Here is an 18,676-nt window from a genome sequence, read left to right on the forward strand (position 1 = left end):
TGTGTGCACCGCATGATCTGTGAGCATGAGTTGTGTGTGCAACATGCTTCCTCGTGATTACCGCCTATACGGACAGTCACTGTGCATTAGTGCATTGGTAGCCAGCCGCCGCCAAAAACAGGATGGCATTCTTCCATCGTGATTAGAGGTTTTGTGAGCATTTTGGGATGGGGGACACTTTCTCAGTAAAGACTCTTCCGCCCCATTCACGTTCATTCAGCTCTTTCTAGGGGAAATTAAAAGCTGCAGTGATAATCCCTTAAGGACAACTTGGAAGAGTATAAAAGGTGCAGTGTATAAGCAATTGGATGAGAAAGCCTTTTATGTGGAAAGTTACTGAATGGGTGGCTGAGGGTGGTGTGAGTGGGGAGAAAGAGGGGCAGCTTTTCTTTTCTAAGGTGGGGAGCAGCGGGGATATCATGGCACTTCAGTTCCCTTTAATCATCCAGATTCCTACGCTGTCCCTGCCCCTGGTGTCACCTTGTTTTGCAGTGCCAGCTAGCTCCTCCCTGCCATTTTCCCCTCAAAGAGGGAGAGGGGAGCAATGCGATTTTTGGTAAGGACCCAGTTTCTCGCTGAATGCCAACTCAGCCAGCTGGCACCGAACAGGCCAAGCCTTCTTCAGAAGAGGTTAGCAAAATCCAAATTAGCATGGTCCATTTTAAAAACTTGCTTTTATTTAAAGACTGATTCATGACAAACAGTGGCTCCCGTACTGAGGTCTGGCACCCCAGGGGCTGGCATCCAACCAAACACATGCAACTAATTGCCACCCTCGGATGACACGCAACTAACAAGCTCCATTTTGAGGCAGTAGATTCACTAAGAATGTAACCCCGGAAGGCAGCGGAGGCAGAAAAGCTCCTTTCATAACCCTGTCCTAGGCTAACCATGGCAGCAGAGAGCCTGAAAAACACTTTTGTTTCATTGCACCAACAATTTAGCTCCACGGAGGGCTACAAACACGGCTAACTTGCTGAAAAGTGATCAAGGGCACTGCGATCCCCCTCATGGTTATAGGAGGCAGGGGCTCTGCTTTTCTCTTTGCTCAAGGAAACACACAAAATTGCCTACTATCTTGAAACTCCGCATCTTGCACCATTTGCAAATCTATCGACCCCCAGTACTTCCCCTTATACTTTAGTTCAGATGCTCTCAGGCTTCCTTTGTACAAGCAAGGGCTCTGGAGCCAGGATGCCTAGGTTCAAATCCCAGCTCCACCATTCATTAGTAATTGGCAAGTATTTTAACCCATCTATGCCTCAGTTTCTTCATCTATAAAGTGGAGAGAATATTAGCACCTACATTACTACGAGTAGGAACGAGTCAATGTAATAATGTACATAGGACAATGCCTGACATATCATCACTCTGTTATGAAAGCTCTTTGAGTCTGAGATAGCTCGGCCTTATGAAGAAAAAATTTCCCTTTGCATAAGCTGCATTTTAGTCAAAGTTCTTGCTTCCCTGTAAACTTCTAGAGATTCAACCTCTAAGCCTTTGTTTACCATTCTTTCTCCTCTCAACTGTCCTTCCTCCATTGCACAGCCCTGTATGACTAAATCTCATCATCCTCCAAAACCATTCTTCAATGCCACCTCCTCCGAGGAGACTTCTCTGCCATCCCAGCTGCCATGAATCCCTGCACTCTTGGCATGGCCATGGCAATTTCTGCAAACAAATGACTGTGTTTTACTTGCCTGTTATATTTCCTTTTCTAGACTGACAGATCCTTTTGAGCATAATCCACGAGTAACTAGCACATAGTAGATACTCAATGAATATTTGGTAAAGAAGTAGATGGTCAGATGAAAGAATTGCTCTGCATAAATGAGTAGCTTTATACTATGGTTATGCTGGGCATTACTCAATAGGCAGGATGGGGGAATCGTTTCTTAAGGACTTTCATAGTTGCTTTGGCCCAAATTAAGAGTTGTATTTAACTTGTCATCAACTGAGGCTCATAAATAAAATCTATCAAAGAAATATGTCAATTACCACCTTAGTCAGCTTGGGCTGCCATAACAAAACACCAAGGATTGTGTGGCTTAAACAACAGAAATTTATTTCTCACAGTTCTAGAGGCTGAAAGTCCAAGATCATGGTGTCAGCAGATTCTGTTTCTCCTGAGGCCTCTCTCCCTGGCTTGCGTATGGCTGCCTTTTCGTTCACCATGTCACATGGTCTTTCCTCTGTGTGCTTCCTCCCCTAGTATCTCCTCTTCTTCTTCTTATAAGGGCACCAGTTGCATTGGATTAGGTCCCACCCTTATGACCTCATTTAACATTAATTACCTTTATTTTTATTTTTATTTTATTTATTTATTTATTTTTGAGATGGAGTCTCGCTCTGTCACCCAGGCTGGAGTGCAGTGGCGCAATCTCGGCTCACTGCAAGCTCCGCCTCCTGGGTTCGTGCCATTCTCCTGCCTTAGCCTCCCGAGGAGCTGGGACTACAGGCACCCACCACCACACCTGGCTAATTTTGTTTTTGTATTTTTGGTAGAGATGGGGTTTCACCGTGTTAGCCAGGATGGTCTCAATCTCCTCACCTCGTGATCTGCCCACCTCGGCCTCCCAAAGTGCTGGGATTACAGGTGTGAGCCACCGTGCCCTGCCTACCTTTAAAGGGGTAATTAAGGTTACCTTTAAAAGTTGTCTCCAAATACAGTCACATTAGGGATTCAGGCTTCAGTGTATCAATTCAGGGGAATACAATTCAGGCCATCACAATGACATATACATATAGAAGCATGAATATTCTGTATATTACTTAAGTGCATAGGAGGAACTTAACCATAGGAAGTCCACAAGCCTTTGCTCCTTAAGTCCTGGCATCCAGATCTTCATTATGTTAGCAAAAGTTCAGAAAATGGAAACAAATGTGGCACTCAAATACACAACTATTTTATCTAGATGAAAAATTAAGCTTTCTTTGGAATTTGTGGGATTCAGTTGGGGGGCTCAGTTGCTTCTCTCTTAGAGGCAGGAAAACATCAGCACCCCAGGCAGCAGCCACAACCCTGTCTCCTGTTAAAGCCATTGCCTCTCCCAAGAACAAATGCAAATTCCCAGCTAAACTCCTGTGCACTTTCTAGGAGGAGGCTCACTTTGGTCCTTCTAGGATCAATTTATCTGAATCTTTTCTTTTGAAGGCGGACCTGCAGCTTTATGTAGCCCTGAAACTCTGAACCAGCTTCTCATGCCAGCACCCCTTCTTTAGTCACTTCATAATTCAAATTGCTGTTATCAGCATACACTATTTGTACTGATTTGACTTTTTCACATTGTTTTAAATCACTAATTTCCTATTAGGCAGATTCCTCACATCAATACCGTAAGCTAATGGCTCCCATGGTATTTGTTCATATCTTTCTCTTAAGATACTTAACACTTTTTACCTGGTAGGAGGATGATTTATAGTCATATGTGTCTTTCTTGCCAGACCTTTTAACTACTTAAGGTTAGAATTGCATCAAACCCATTGTTTTATCCCAACCAGTGCTTAACATGATATGGCACACGTAGCAGAGTCACAGTAAAAGTTTGCTGTAATTCACATAGACTTTGCCAGGAGTGCATAGAAGGATTAAGCATCAGAAGCAATGCAATCGCAAAGGTATCTCGTACCATCAAGGGGTGAGGCCAACATCTTAGAAAATTAAGATCAAATATCATCCTTCATTTTTAATTTAAAGCTTCTAGCCAGTTGACCCAGAAACATCCCACACCTCCACCATGACTTACCAATTTGTCTGAAATAATAAAGAGGAAAATGAGAGGCTATTAGCGCCACTTCCATTCTCCAGTCAATCATTGTTCTAAATTATTAATCAGTTGAAGTATTGCCAAGAAATTTTCAGGCCTCTCTCCAAAAGTGTAAAGTAGTCATTTTCAAGTGAACAATTAACTATTTTATTCATCTAGAAGTTGTAGAATTTATAGACAAGCTGATTTCTGTGGATTTTCTTCCCCCCTTTTGGATGCTGGTGGAGGTAAGAGAGGTCTACATGAACTACAAATAGTTTCCTTTCCATCACTCACTTATTAATAACTAGAATCCTGTTTAAAAGGAATGTACTAAAATATTTTCTAGGCTGAAGCAGGAGGATTGCTTGAACCCAGGAGTTTGAGACTAGCCTGGGCAACATAGGGACACCCTGTCTCTACAAAAAAAAAGAAAAAAAAAAAGAAATTAAATTAGCTGGGTATGGTGGCATGTGCCTGTGGCCTTAACTACTTATGAAGCTGAGGTGGGAGGACGCCAGAGCCCGGGAGGTAGAGGCTACAGTGAGCCATGATTGTGCCACTGCACCCCAGCCTGGGCAGCAAAGAGATACTCTGTCTCAAAAATAAAGTAAAATAAAATATTTCCTGACCAGTTCAGCATTTATAATATTGTTCCTAATAGCATGCCACTCCTGACTGATCATTGCTGGCAAAAGCAAAGTGATCGATTGTCACCACCCTGTTTGTCCCCAGGATTAACTTGGTAAAGAAGTACAGCCATGGTTTCTGCTTTCGTGGAGCTTACATTCTAGAGGAGACAGTGAAAAAGAAAGGTAAATAGACAAATGAAACAACTACAGCAAATTTTACTAAAAAAAAAATAAAATAAAAAAAGGAAAAAAGAGGCTAAGATAAAGAAAGGGGAGGTGTACCTTAAATAAGATGTCGATAAAGACCTCACTAGCAGGAATCATCCTCCATGGATCAGGAGAATCCTGAAACTGGGGACCTCATAGGCAGTCCAATCCAAAGTGTGAATAGGCCATGAACATTTTTAAAACTATATATTCAGTTCTGGTCATCTATTGACCTCAGAGACACTAGATTTCCAGTGGCATCCACTACTATGACTGCAATTGCTGAGGGGTAATTTTCTGAGCCAGAGTTGTAGCATGCAATTTGCCTTGTCATTCTCATCTGATGCTCATTAATAGTCCCAACTTTTATGTAAGGTATGTGCTTTCAAAGGTAGTGTGATATGTGGCTAAAAATATTGATTTTTTTCTTTTACACTTTTGTTTTTTTTAAAAGGAGGAAAAGTGAGCACTAATTTTTTTATTTCAACTGTATCTTTTGAAGGTTCATTATGCATATATTTTGATAATCTTGTCTATGAGAATGAACCCTAGGACAATTAAATATCCTTTAATTTTGAGATGTGTAGTCTGGAAATACCTACATGGCCGTCCTAGGCTTTAGGTTCATTTTCTTTGAGAGGCTCAACCCCATATTATATCAGATATATTTACAGGTCAAAAGGCAAAATTGAAACAAATTTAGTTTAAAGATCTTAACTGGCTTTTATTTGTGATTCTAGAATCAGACAAAACCTCACTGTATAAAAAAGAATGAGTGTTCCAATGAGCTGAGCAGAGGAGGTTTCCTTTACAGCTGGAAAAGGGATGAAGAAAGCAGAAACAAAGAACCAAAAGCAAATTGGTTGTTTCCAAGTTACTTTCCTTGTAAAGGTTAAAGCAGAGGGACATCCTTATCATATTGGCTACAACTGGTCTAGTTGAGGATTTGGCTACTAGTTCTCCCCCCTGATTTCTTAGAAGGTCAGATGAAAAACTTGGTTTTGGCTTGGTGGCCAAAACTTCAGCATGAGTAATTCTATTTTGGTTTGGACTGTTGAGCTTGGTTCAGTAGTTCAGTCCAAACCAATGGACTTCTATAAATTTTATTCAACATACACGAAACAGTTTTTGTATGTGAGATCTGTGAAAAATATTTTTATACTTTTGCATTTAAAATTATTTGCTTATGTATAATTTGGTTAATTTAATTTTTTAAATTGCCTAAAATTTCCCAGTAATCAACATGCAGTTTCAGGAATTCTTAAGAACTGAGAAAAGCTAACTCATAAAATGTCTCTAAGAGTAGACATTTTAATAACTATTACATTTAGTAATTAATCACAAGAGCATAAAATTTCATTTATTGACATATCATTAAATATGACATTGTTCAGATTGTGCAATTTCTGCATACACTGAAATCAAAGTAGTTTTTCTCTCTCTGTTAGTTCTGAATATTTTCATAGGCCCTTGAAAAATACATTGGCCCTAGTCATTAGTTCCTGGTACCTAAAGATTAAAGAGGCAATAGAATATGTGTGTATTCCCAGGTCTTACATGGCACTAGATAGTGGGGGTCTTTTCCCCCTAAATAAAGTGGATGCTATTATAACCATGCATGACTCCAGTTAGACCCAGATGAATGTACCAAAATCACTACCATTTAAAAAGCATAAAAAACCTTGCCCTCAATTTACTGTGATTTGCAAACTCTCCTCTGAAGTTTCACTGAACCCCACTTATAAATATCATCTTGCTTCTTTAGCAAATTCTCAAACCTTAGTACATAAGAATCACCCAGAGCTCTTATTAAAAACAGATTCCTGGGCCCTGACCCCAAAGAATCTTATTTAATAGATCTAAGTGGAGCCCAGAAATCAGAGTTTTTAACCTTCTGAAACCTTAAAGGTTGTATAAGCCTTTAGAAAACATTAGTTGATGTGAGCAGGGTTGATGATAACAGCTGGTAAGATTAGTCTTGACTTGAGCTACTGAACAACTCAAGTCCATTTAGGCTAGTCTCTCTCAACCCTGGCTCATACTAGAATCCCCTGGGGCTTTTAAAGCACTTTACCCCCAAGGATTCTGATTTCTTCTGTATGGGCATTGGTATTTTTTAAAGCTACCATATAAACAAATTGAGAAACCCTACCAGCCTAAGGGCATTTCTGTCAGAAAGGATTAACCCACACACTGCGGTGATGATAAGGCCTAACACTCCTACAAAATGCAAACACTGAAGCAGAGATTTCGCAAGACTAAAATCCATCTGGAGCTCTTGATTCCCAGTTTGTGTCAGCCTCAACACACCCAAGTTGGCCTTAACAGTTATGGCACAAGAAAATGAGCCCTTCCCTTTAGTTTTCATCAGCTGGCAGAATGATTTAGTAGCTCTATTATAAAAGCAACTCCATTATAATTACAGTGTTTGAATTATAAACAAAACAAGAAAAATACAGAAGGAATAGTCCTTTAGTCAAAACTGTAAAACAGAACAATTTCTGGCTGCAGTTAAAAGCAAACTGAAATATTAAGAGTAAGCTCTCCAGCCCTTTGATTCTTGCCTCTTTCCCATAGGAGCGACACTACACATTTTTTCAATTAAGCAGTTTGACAACCTGAAGAAACCCACAGTGCATGATTTAATGAGCATATACTGTGTGCATGGTAATCGGCAAGCTGACAGTTTGCTCATTTCAAACTGACAAGAGAGCACTACACATTAGTAGAAAGGTTTCTTGGGTCTCTTTTCATTAAATAAGCTTTACAGTTGAGGAACATTCCAACTGTATTGGCAAAGCTGTCACTAATGGTCCCCAGGCAACCTTAACTCTCTGTCACTCTCCAAGTCCTCAAGTCTTGATGAAGAAATTGCTTCTTAAAAAACAAAGCACAAAAACAAAATATAGATATTTAAAGTTCTCTGGATGTTGTCAGGGGCAAGGTGGAGCTTTCTGAGCCATGAATCCACTGGTGATTTCACAGTACATGAATTCTAACCCAGTATGTGCTGGTTCTTCATGCAGATCACTTTATAAACTGGAATTGTTTTTAGAAATAATGCCCAAACTGTTAAATTATTCAATAGTTTAGAAATGATTCAGCGTACTGGAAAAAACATAGGCCTTGGTGACAGAGAGATAGGGGTTCGAATTCTGACTAAAATACTTCTCTGTGGCCTTGGTCAAATTACATCATTTCTCAGGGGCTCAGTTTCCTAATTTATGAAACATGGACAATAACATCTGCTTTGTATGAACAAGATCGTAAAAGTCTTTCGCACAGTTACTGACAACACAGGCATACTTAAATAGAGACTAGTTTACCCACAGAAATTCAGAGTATGGGGTTTTAACAAAGCTAACTATAGTCTGACTGTCCTGAGATTTCTACCATGAGCCTTTATTGGAGTTCTATAAGAAGAAAAACAGTAAGCTAACATTCACTCACAAATGGGATTTTATTTAATCCTACTAAGATTCTGAATTTTGGGTGTTATTACACCTGTTTTTATAAAATCTCGAAATAAGAAGGGTTCTTAGAGGTCATATGAGGAATTTCTGACATTTTAACTTTTCTGATTACAAGAATATGAAACTACTGTTTCCCTCTTTGCTCTGCTTGTCAGAAAACTCGAGTGAATTCTCATGCTAAATGTATGTTTGCAACTCTGTTAGCAGTAGCGGTTAGCAGATTTGTTTCCTGATTTTCTATACATATGTTAGTAACCTTACTTAAAATAGTTTATAAGCTACCCTGAAGGAAGTTGAGATTTCTTAGCTAACTAGTAAGATCCATAACAAGAATCCATGTCACCTGACTCCAGGCTAGGACACCTCACATATAACATGGAAATGACATAGAAAACCCCAGAAGCAAGTACAGTGAAGCCATAGCTTATTGCTTGGGTCCTATGCCATGAAGATGATCAAACATATTAGCCTTCTAGTTACGAGGAAAAAATATGGAAGCTTCAGGGTCCTTATTTCTAAAATAGGGATAATATATATTTCTAAGATCATTGTAAAGATTTAGAGAGAATATTTTCAAAATCAGCCAGTGTGGCATTCGATACATAGTAACATTTTAAAAGTCTGAAATGTTGACTCTAAGAAATAATTGTAGTTCTACTAATTACAAGTAAAACACAAATGCATAGACCCTTAAACATGATTTAGAAATCATTTATCCCTCCAAACTTCACGCACTGATGTAAAATTCTGCCCCAGGCTAGGTGAAGATCCATACTTGCTGTCTTTCTCTCATGTCACAGAGTACATGGAGATCTGGAAAAGTTGTCCATAAATTCCAAATTCTTAATATAAACATGTCTATTGGAAATACAGACTCTTTTTTTTTTTTTTTTGAGACAGAGTCTGGCTGTTGTTGCTCAGTGGAGTCATCTTGGCTCACTGCAACCTCTGCTTCCTGGAGTCCAGTGATTCTTTTGCCTCAGCCTCCCAAGCAGCTCAGATTCCCAAGCAGCATCATGCCTGGCTAATTTTTGTATTTTTAGTAGAGATGGAGTTTCATCGTGTTGCCCAAGCTGGTCTCGAACTCCTGGCCTCAAGAAATCCACCCACTTTGGCCTCCCAAAGTGGGATTACAGGCATGAGCCACTGTGCCCAACCAGAAGTACAGAACTTTATCAAGAATACACACATGTGACATTTTCAGGTTTAATAATTTATACTTCAGGGTACTCACAAAACTGGGCCAAAATCATGGTCTACCTCTATGTGAAATACCAAGTTTCCCTATGTCTCACAGCCATGACTCCACTGGTGACTTCACAGTACACGAATTCTAACCCATAAATTGACTATATCCAGAATGTAGCCAGACATACCATAAAGATGTTCATTTATCTTCAAGGGAGTCCACAAAAATAGCACTGTAGTTCCTCATATGCATACCCTAACAAAAATGAGTCAGTGGTGTTTCCCCAGAGAAAAACGATGCTGTGCAGTGGAAGCAGCTTTGGAAACAGACAGATTCAGATTTGAAGGCTGGCTCTGCTATCCATTAGTTGTATGACATTGGACAACATAGTATGAACCTCTTAGAGCCATAGATTCTTCCACTGGCAAATGGAGGAAACACTTTGAACTTATATAACTATTGTAAGCAGGGGTTATGTTATGATTTAAATGTCCCCTCCAAAAATTATGTTAAAATTTAACTGCCATTGTCATGGTATGGAGAAGAGGGACCATCAAGAGGTGGGACCACTGAGAGATGATTAGGTCTTGAGAGCTCTACCTTCATAAATGGATTAACATCATTATGAAGAAAGTAGGTTTGTTATCATGAGTGAGTTATTATAAAAATGAGTTTGGCCCTCTCATTGGCTCATTTTCATTTTCTCCTGCCCTTCTGCTTGCCTCCATGGGATGACAAGCACAAAGGCCCTCACCAGATGCCAGCACCTTGCTGTTGTACTTCCCAACTTCCAGAACCATGAACCAAATAAATTTATTTTCTTTTAATAAATTGCCCAATCTCGGGTATTCTGTTATAGCAGAAACAAAATGGACTAAGACAAATGATATTTAAAATATTTAACCATTAGTATGGTAAAGGCACCAACCAGCATAGGCTTAATGCCTGTTCTGGTGCATACTAATTAAATATGAACTCCATTTGAAGAATTTTGAAGGCATCCAACTTGATCCTAGATCATGGGAGGTGCTTAAACATATACAACGCATTAAATGAAGCAAACACGTGTTGTAAAACATTACAATAAAAAACTTAGCAGCAGTTATACTGAGATCTCTATACTCTCCAATTACATTTTTTCACCTGTGTTGTTTTTATTCCATGATTTTATTAAATGATTGTTAGCTTAAAGTGATGAGCCACTTGCGTCTTTTGACTCATGATTGAGACAGTCGTCAAAAAATTCTAGATTTGAAAAGACATAAAGTGATCTCACTTGGAATTTTATCAAGTCTATATTCATGTATAATCCTTATGTCTTCTTAATTTAATGACTCCTTTATTATGACACACTCTTCTTCTTTATCTCTGATAATATTTTTTGTCTTAAAGTTGAGTTTGTCTGATATTATTATAGCCACTCTAGACTTCCTATGCTGTTTCCATGGTGTATTTATTTCCATCAATTTATTTTAAACCTATCTGTGTTTTTTTATTTAAAGGCTATCTCTTAACAGAACATAGCTGTTCTTGCTTTTTTATACATTCTAATCATCTCAGCATTTTTTTGAATATTTATTTATTTTTATTTGTTTGGTTTCTTTGCCCACAAAACTTATTCATTTTGTCAATCATTTGAAAGTAGCTTGCATTCATAAAGCCCTTGGGCTTAGGTCTTTTTAAAAAAAATTCATTCATCTGTTTTTATGTGTTTATTTTTTCAACTTTCATTTTAGATTCAGGGGGTATATTTGCATGTTTGTTACCTGGGTATATTGCATCATGCTGAGGTTTGGGATATGAATGGTAGCATTACCCAGGTACTGAGCATAGTACTCACCATTTGGTTTTTCAACCTTTTCCCCTCTCCCTTCTTCCCTGCTCTAGTAGTCCCCAGTGTCTATTGTTACCATCTTCACGTCCACACGTACCCAAAGTTTAGTTCCTACTTACAAGTGAGAACATGTGGCATTTAGTTTTCTGTTCCTGCATTAAATTGCTAGGATAATGGTGTCTGGCTGCATCCACGTGGCTGCAAAGGACATGATTCGATTCTTTTTTATTACTGCATAATATCCCATGATATACATGTACCAAATTTTCTTTATCTGATCCACCATTGATGGGCACCTAGGTTGAGTCCATATCTTTGCTATTGTGAATAGTGCTGTGACAATGAACATGCAAGTACATGTGTCTTTGGTAGAATGATTTGTTTTCTTTTGGATCTATACACAGTAATGGAATTGCTGGATCGAATGGTAGTTCTGTTTTAAGTTCTTTGGGAAATCACCAAACTGCTTTCCACAGTGGCCGAACTAATTTACATTCCCACCAACAGTGTATAAGCATTCCTGTTTCTCAGCAGCCTCACCAACATGTGGTTTTTTTTTGTTTGTTTAGTTTTGTTTTGTTTTTGTTGTTTTTTTTTTTTTTACTTTAGCCATTCTGACTGGTGTGAGATGGTATCTCATGGTGGTTTTGATTTGTATTTCTCTGATGATTAGGGACAATGAGCATTTTTTCATGTTTGTTGGCCACTTGTATGTCTGTCTCCCTTTGAGAAGTTTCTGTTCATGTCTTTTGCCCATTTTTTAATGGGGTTGGTTTTTGCTTGTTCAATCATTTAAGTTCCTTATAGACTCCAGATATTAGACCTTTAGTGGTTGTGTAATTTGTGAATATTTTCTGTCATCCTGTAGGTTGTTTACTCTGTTGACAGTTTCTTTTGCTGTGCAGAAGCTCTCTGGTTTGATTAGTCTCACTTGTCAATTTTTGGTTTTGTTGCAATTGCTTTTGAGGACTTAGTCATAAATTCTTTCCCAAGGCTGATGTCCAGAATGGTGTTTCCTAGGTTTTCCTCTAGGATTCTCATACTTTGAGTTCTTACATTTAAATCTTTACTCCATATGGAGTTAGCTTTGTATATGGTGAAATGTAGGGGTCCAGTTTCATTCTTCTGTATATGGCTAGCCAGTTATCCCAGCGCCATTTATTAAATAAGGAAACCTTTCTCCATTGCTTTTGTTAACTTTGTTGAAGATCAGATGGTTGTAAGTGTGCAGCTTTATTTCTGGGTTCTCTAGTCTGTTCCATTGGTTTCTGTGTCTGTCTTGTACCAGTACTATACTGGTTTGGTTACTGTAGCCTTGTAGTATAGCTTGGAGTTGGAAAATGTGTGCCTCCAGCTTTGTTCTTTTTGTTTAAGTTTGCTTTGGCTATTCAGTCTCTTTTTTGATTCCACATGTACTTTATAATAGTTTTTTCCAGTTCTGTGAAATATGGTAGAGTAGTTTTATAAACTACCTGTATAAAACCTGTAGATTATTTTGGGCAGTATGGCCACATTAATGAAATTGATTCTTCCAATCCATGAGCATGGAATGTTTTTCCATCTGTTTGTGTCTTCTATGATTTCTTTTAGCAGTGTTTTGTGGTTCCCCTTGTAGATACATTTCATCTCCTTGGTTAGATGTATTCCTAAGTATTTTATATACTTCTATTTTTTCAGGCTATTGTAAATGAGATTTCCTTCTTGATTTGGCTCGCAAGTTGAACATTATTGGTGTACAGAAATGCTACTGATTTCTGTACATTGATTTAATGACCTGAAACTTTACTGAAGTTGTTTCTGAGTTCTAGGAGGCTTTTGGTGGCGTCTTTGAGTTTTTTAGGAATAGAATCATATTGTCTGCAAAGAGAGATAGTTTGATTTCTTCTTTTCCTATTAAGATGCATTTTATTTCTTTCTCTTGCCTGATTGCTGTGGCTAGCACTTCCAGTACTATGTTGAATAGGAGTAGTAAGAGTGGGCATCTTTGTCTTGTTCCAGTTCGCAAGGGTAATGCTTTCAGTTTTTGCCCATTCAGTATGATATTGGCTGTGGTTTTATCATAGATGGCTCTTATTATTTAGAGGTATGTTCTTCAGTGCCTACTTTCTTGAAGTTTTTTATCATGAAGGGATGTTGGATTATAGCAAAAGCTTTTTCTACATCTAGTGAGATGATTCTAAGGCTTTTTAAAAATCCTATTTATGTGGTGAATCACATTTGTATTTGCTCATGTTGGACCAAATTTGCATGCCAGAATGAAGCCTACTTGATCATGGTAAATTAACCTTTTGATGTGCTGTTGAATTTGGTTTGCTGGTATTATGTTCAGGATTTTTGCCTCTATGTTCATCAGGGATATTGGCCTGTTGATTTCTTTTTTTTTTATTGTGTGTTTGTCAGGTTTGCTATCAGGGTGATGCACAGAATGAGTTTGGGAGGAGTTGCTCCTCTTCAATTTTTTGGAATAGTTCAGTAGAATTGTACCAGCTCTTCTTTGTACATCAGGTAGAATTTTGCTATGACACTGCTACATTTTAATTAGTGATTAGTCCACTGACATTTAGTCTGATTACTGATATGGTTGCATTTAGAGCTGCAAGTTTATTATATGTTTTCTGTTTGCTCCTCCACTTCTTGTTTTTCTTTTTCTTCCCTCTGCAACTTTTGGATCATTTTTTTCTTAATTTAGGATTCTATTTTATCTTTGGATTTTCAGTGGTTTTTCTAGGAATTAAAACATATATTCTTGATCTTTCACAGTCTACTTAGATTTAATTTTATACTATCTCATATAAAATTGGAAAACCTTGCAACTGTATAAATCCATTTGCCACTGCCTCCATTCTTTATGCTATAAAGTCATATGGATTACATCTGTACATATTACATTATAAACACCACAAGACAATGTTATAATTTTTGCTTTAACAGGTCCTGTGTAGTTAAAGATCTTATCATGAAAAACTAGTCTTTTATATTTACAATTTCCAAAATTTTTTCATTCCTTCTTGAAGACTTAAGATTCCATCTGGTGTTATCTCACTTTATAGCCTGAACAATCTTTCCTTTAGCATTTCTGTGGGGCAGGTCTGCTGATAATAAATGCTCTTAGTTTCCTTTTATCTGAAAATGTACTAATTTGCCTTTACTCACAAAGGATATTTTTGCTACACATAGAATTCTGGATTAACAGTGTTTTGCTTTTTTTTTTACCCCTCGTTTGTACTTTAAAAACATCATTTCAATTTTTCTGGCCTTTATAAATTCTGATGAGACGTCATCGTTCATTTAAAGCATTGTTCCACCAAAGATACCGTGCCATTTTTCTCTGGCTACTATCAAGATTCTCTCTTTATTGTTGGTCCTCACCAGTTGGAATATGATGTACCTATGCACAGTTTTCTTCAAATGTATCCCATTTGGGATTCACTGCATTTCTTGATCTATGCATTTATGTATTTCACCAAATTTGAAAATTTGGGCCCATTATTTCTTCAAATATTTTGTTCTGTTTCATTCTCTTTCTCTTCTCCTTCTGAGACTCCAATTACATGTAAGCTAGACATTTTAATTTCTGTTACACAGGTCCCTGAGTCTCTGTTTATTTTTTTTATTCAGTCATTTTAAGTCTTTTTTTCTGTCTGTTCTTCCAAAAGAAAATTTCTATGGATCTATCTTTAAGTTCACTAACACTTTCCTTTGTTTCCTCCAGTTGCTGTAAGTATACTCAATGAGTTTTTATTTCAAATACTGTATTTTTCAGTTTCAGGATTTCTATTTGGTTCTTTTTGCAGTTTCTGTTTACTACCTTCTTATTCATTATGAGTTTATTTTCCTATTATTTGTGGAGCATGGTTAAAATAGCCACTTTAAAATCTTTGTTAATTCCCACATTTGGCTCATCTTGGAATTGGTCTCAGATAATTGCTTTTTGTCTTCAGAATGAGTCACATTTTATTGGGTTTCCATATAGCGTGTAATTTGGGGTTGTATGATATGCAAGTATTGATGTTATTGTATGCAGAGCTTCAATCCTGTTATAGTTTTCTGAAGGGTATTGATTTATTTGTTTTAGCAGGCAATTATTTATACTCAAATTTAAAACTATCCCTTGGGTAGCAGCTCGAATCTCAGTTCAGTTCTTTTATCTTTGTGATAATTTGTGTCTGCTCCATCAAGAATATACACATGACATATACCTCAGAATTACATGACGTGATCTCACTTGGAATTTTATCAAGTGCATATTCATCTACAATTCCTACTTCTTCTTAATATAATGATTTACTATCATGAAATGTTCTCCTTCATCTCTGGTAACTCTTTTTGTCTGAAAGTTTAGTTTGTCTCATATTAATAAATTCAAGGGTCAACCAGAAATTTGGGTAGTGTTTATATACAGATTTGGGAGCTTCCCCTCTCTGCCTCTCTTCTTTCCAAGATTCTGAATTCATTTTCCTGTGGCTATGATTGCCCTGAACCCTGTTCTTTGGGTCTTCAAACCAAAAACACTGTGAGTTTTCTATTGGAGGATGGCCACCCGAAATGACATTAATTTTAGCCTGTTCTCACTCTAAAAGTTGTAAAATGGGAAACTCACTCTGGACCGATCTGTGCTTCCAAGTTTTGAATTTCAGCTCCCCTCCAGAATCTGTCTGCTTATTTTTATTCTCTAATGCTTCCAGGTAATTTCTTTTTTCTTTTCTTTTTTCTTTTCTTTTTTTTTTTTTTGTTTTTGGTCTTTTGGTACTTTATAGTTGATATCTGTGAGAATTTCAGATCCAGTAGAACTTACTTAGCCATATTGGAAATGGAAACAAGTAAAAACATTTAGGAAACATTCCTTTGCATTTCCTAACACCTCTCCTCAAAATACTTAACCTCCGTCCATTCCCTCATTTAGTGACATTTGAGTTTGGTTTTAAGTAGAAATAGAAGCCAGGCTCAGGGCTTCCTTGATCATCTTGCCAAGTACATGAGAAGACTTGGAATGAAAACACAGCATAAAGTTAAATGATAGAATGATAGAACATCAATCAATTCTAGCTCTTAGACTGGTGGCATTTAATCTCAAAGCAATGAGGCTTATACAGAATCATGACTACCAGTGATTATCTACATGGTACTTTGCCACGTTATTTTACCTTATTTCTTTGGTCTCAGATATCTCTAAATCCTGCCTCATTGAAAACTGCAATAGATAATATGCCACGAGAAACAGAATACTGAAAATCCTAAAATGCCAACCCAGAGTTGGTAATTGCACAATTCCTTCTAATCATAATCATTATGGCTTCCACTTCTTGAAAGCTTCTGTATACCAGCCACCTTGCTAACCACTTTACATTAATTGTCAGTTAATCCTTCACAACTATTCTTTGAGCAGTTCCCATAACTAGCTTCATTTTACGGAGGAAGTAACCAGAGTTCCGAGAGGTTGAGTTCACTAAGAGCACACAGCAAACAGTAGAACTCTGAGTCAGTCTTTGTAAAGAGAAGAAATAGCAAAGGGGTTTTGGAGACATCAGGCACATACTCTTTACTATTAGGAGAGAAAATAGAAGTCTTTCTAGGAGTAAGTAGGGTTTCTAAAACTTAAATAGTCTACAGTCCTTTTTGTCAGTAATTATTGATATTAAAATGCCACCCTTCCAGAAACAATATATTTTATATTGACAGCTTTTATGTTTAAAAAGAACCTTCTAGCCGGGAGTGATGGCTCACACCTGTAATCCCTGCACTTTGGGTGGCTGAGGTGGGTGGATCACTTGAGGTCAGGGGTTCAAGACCAGCCTGGCCAACACGGTAAAACCCCATCTCTACTAAAAATACAAAAATTAGGTGGGCCTGGTGGCGGGCGCTTGTAATCCCAGCTACTTGGGAGGCTGAGGCACAAAAATTGCTTAAACCCAGGAGGTAGAGGTTGCGGTTAGCTGAGATCACACCATTGTACTCCAGCCTGGGCGACAGCGAGACTCCATTTCAAAAAAGAAAGCCCTCCTTCAGGGCTTAAAACACTAACCCAAACAATAACAAAAGGATCAAATAATTATATGTAAAGGCTCATATGAAAAGGCACATAACACCAGTGCTCCATTTTACCTCATTTCATTTACTGCCTTTAAACTTTGTTTTCCAGGTAAACCATCTAAACAGGCAGGTGACCTGCCAGAGAAAAATCTGGCACATTAGGAAGTAAAGATGCCTGCCTCATCCCACAACAAGATGCAGCAATGTCTCACAGTTCTACAACTCTAGGGGCAATCCTGCCCAACTTTGCAAATTTTGCATAAACCGTGGGTTTCAAGTGACTTTGGAATGAGAGGGAAAGGGAAGGCAGCACGAAGGATAAGCTGGCTGACATTGTAAAGTGGATACAGGAAACTGGGACTTAACCGGAAGCAGGAAAAGGAATACAGTATCTTTGTGTTCTGGTACATAGGATTATTCAATATACATATTTATTATACATGTTAAATTGTCTGAGACCCGGAAATGAGAGATACTGTTAAAGGAGTAAAGATGAGATGAGGTAACAGAAAAGGAGAGGAGTAAATATGAGTCCTAAGGAGGGGTTACATGAGCACAGTCCCCTGACGACATGCTAGAGATTACCAGATTAGTGCATTGCTCCTACTTTCTTGCTATTATTATTATTATTATGGGGTTTTTTTGGCAGGGTCTCACTCTGTCGCCTAGGCTGGAGTGCAATGGCATGATCTTAGCTCACTGCAACCTCCACCTCCCAGGTTCAAGTGATTCTCCTGCCTCAGCCTCCTGAGTAGCTGGGATTACAGACACCTGCTACCACATCCGGCTAATTTTTGGATTTTTGGTAGAGATGAGGTTTCACCATGTTGGCCAGGCTGGTCTCAAACTCCTGACCTCAAGTGATCCACCTACCTCGGCCTCCCAAAGTGCTGGGATTACAGGCCCTTTGCTGCTATTTTTAAAAATACATATTCAACATATCCGGTGAAATCATTCAAAGATGCATACAGATAAGTGATTATTTTACTCTAACGTAAAGCCTCTTTGTAAGACCTACCCTTCACTGTCTGTCCCAGCATATGCCCTAGGACTTCCTCTGACCATGAACAGTACCATGCCACTGAAGGAGATCTGTTTCAACAGAGCCTCCTCCTGCTGCTCCTAACTTTATTTCCATTCCACTAGCATTCTCAAAGTCATGCAAAACATAACAACCTGACTTTGTAACTGTTTAACCTTACTTTTTACACGTAAAAATTATTAAATATGTGTAACTGCTGGGGGGAGGATAATATAATGGCATGTCAGTCAGGTAACAGGTAAGCTACATTTCATGGAAAAGAAGGGGAATGCTTTCTTCAGAAAGTGAAGTCATCATTCTTTTATTTAACTGACATAATATTTATACCCCAATTTTTAAAATGGCAGCTACAAATAGAAGTCGAAAGAGGGTAAATTCTCCAAGGGAATCTAGCCCTGAAATTTTACCATTTTAAAAGTTCTATTTTACAAGTACATAGGAACATTACTACTATTATAAGGATACTCACAGCAGGTCAATTATTTCAAACTCTTTGAAAAAAAAATCAAAATTAAGTAAACCT

General features: G+C 37.9%; 1 protein-coding gene across 7 annotated transcripts in view; it reads right to left on the reverse strand.

Annotated features, from left to right (window-relative positions):
* The window catches only part of FHIT (fragile histidine triad diadenosine triphosphatase), a 1,504,176-nt gene that overhangs the window by 1,055,964 nt on the left and 429,536 nt on the right, over positions 1–18,676 (reverse strand). The gene's annotated exons all lie outside the window — the stretch shown is intronic.

This window comes from Homo sapiens, chromosome 3, assembly GCF_000001405.40.
Source record: "Homo sapiens chromosome 3, GRCh38.p14 Primary Assembly".
NCBI classification, from domain to species: Eukaryota; Metazoa; Chordata; class Mammalia; order Primates; family Hominidae; genus Homo; species Homo sapiens.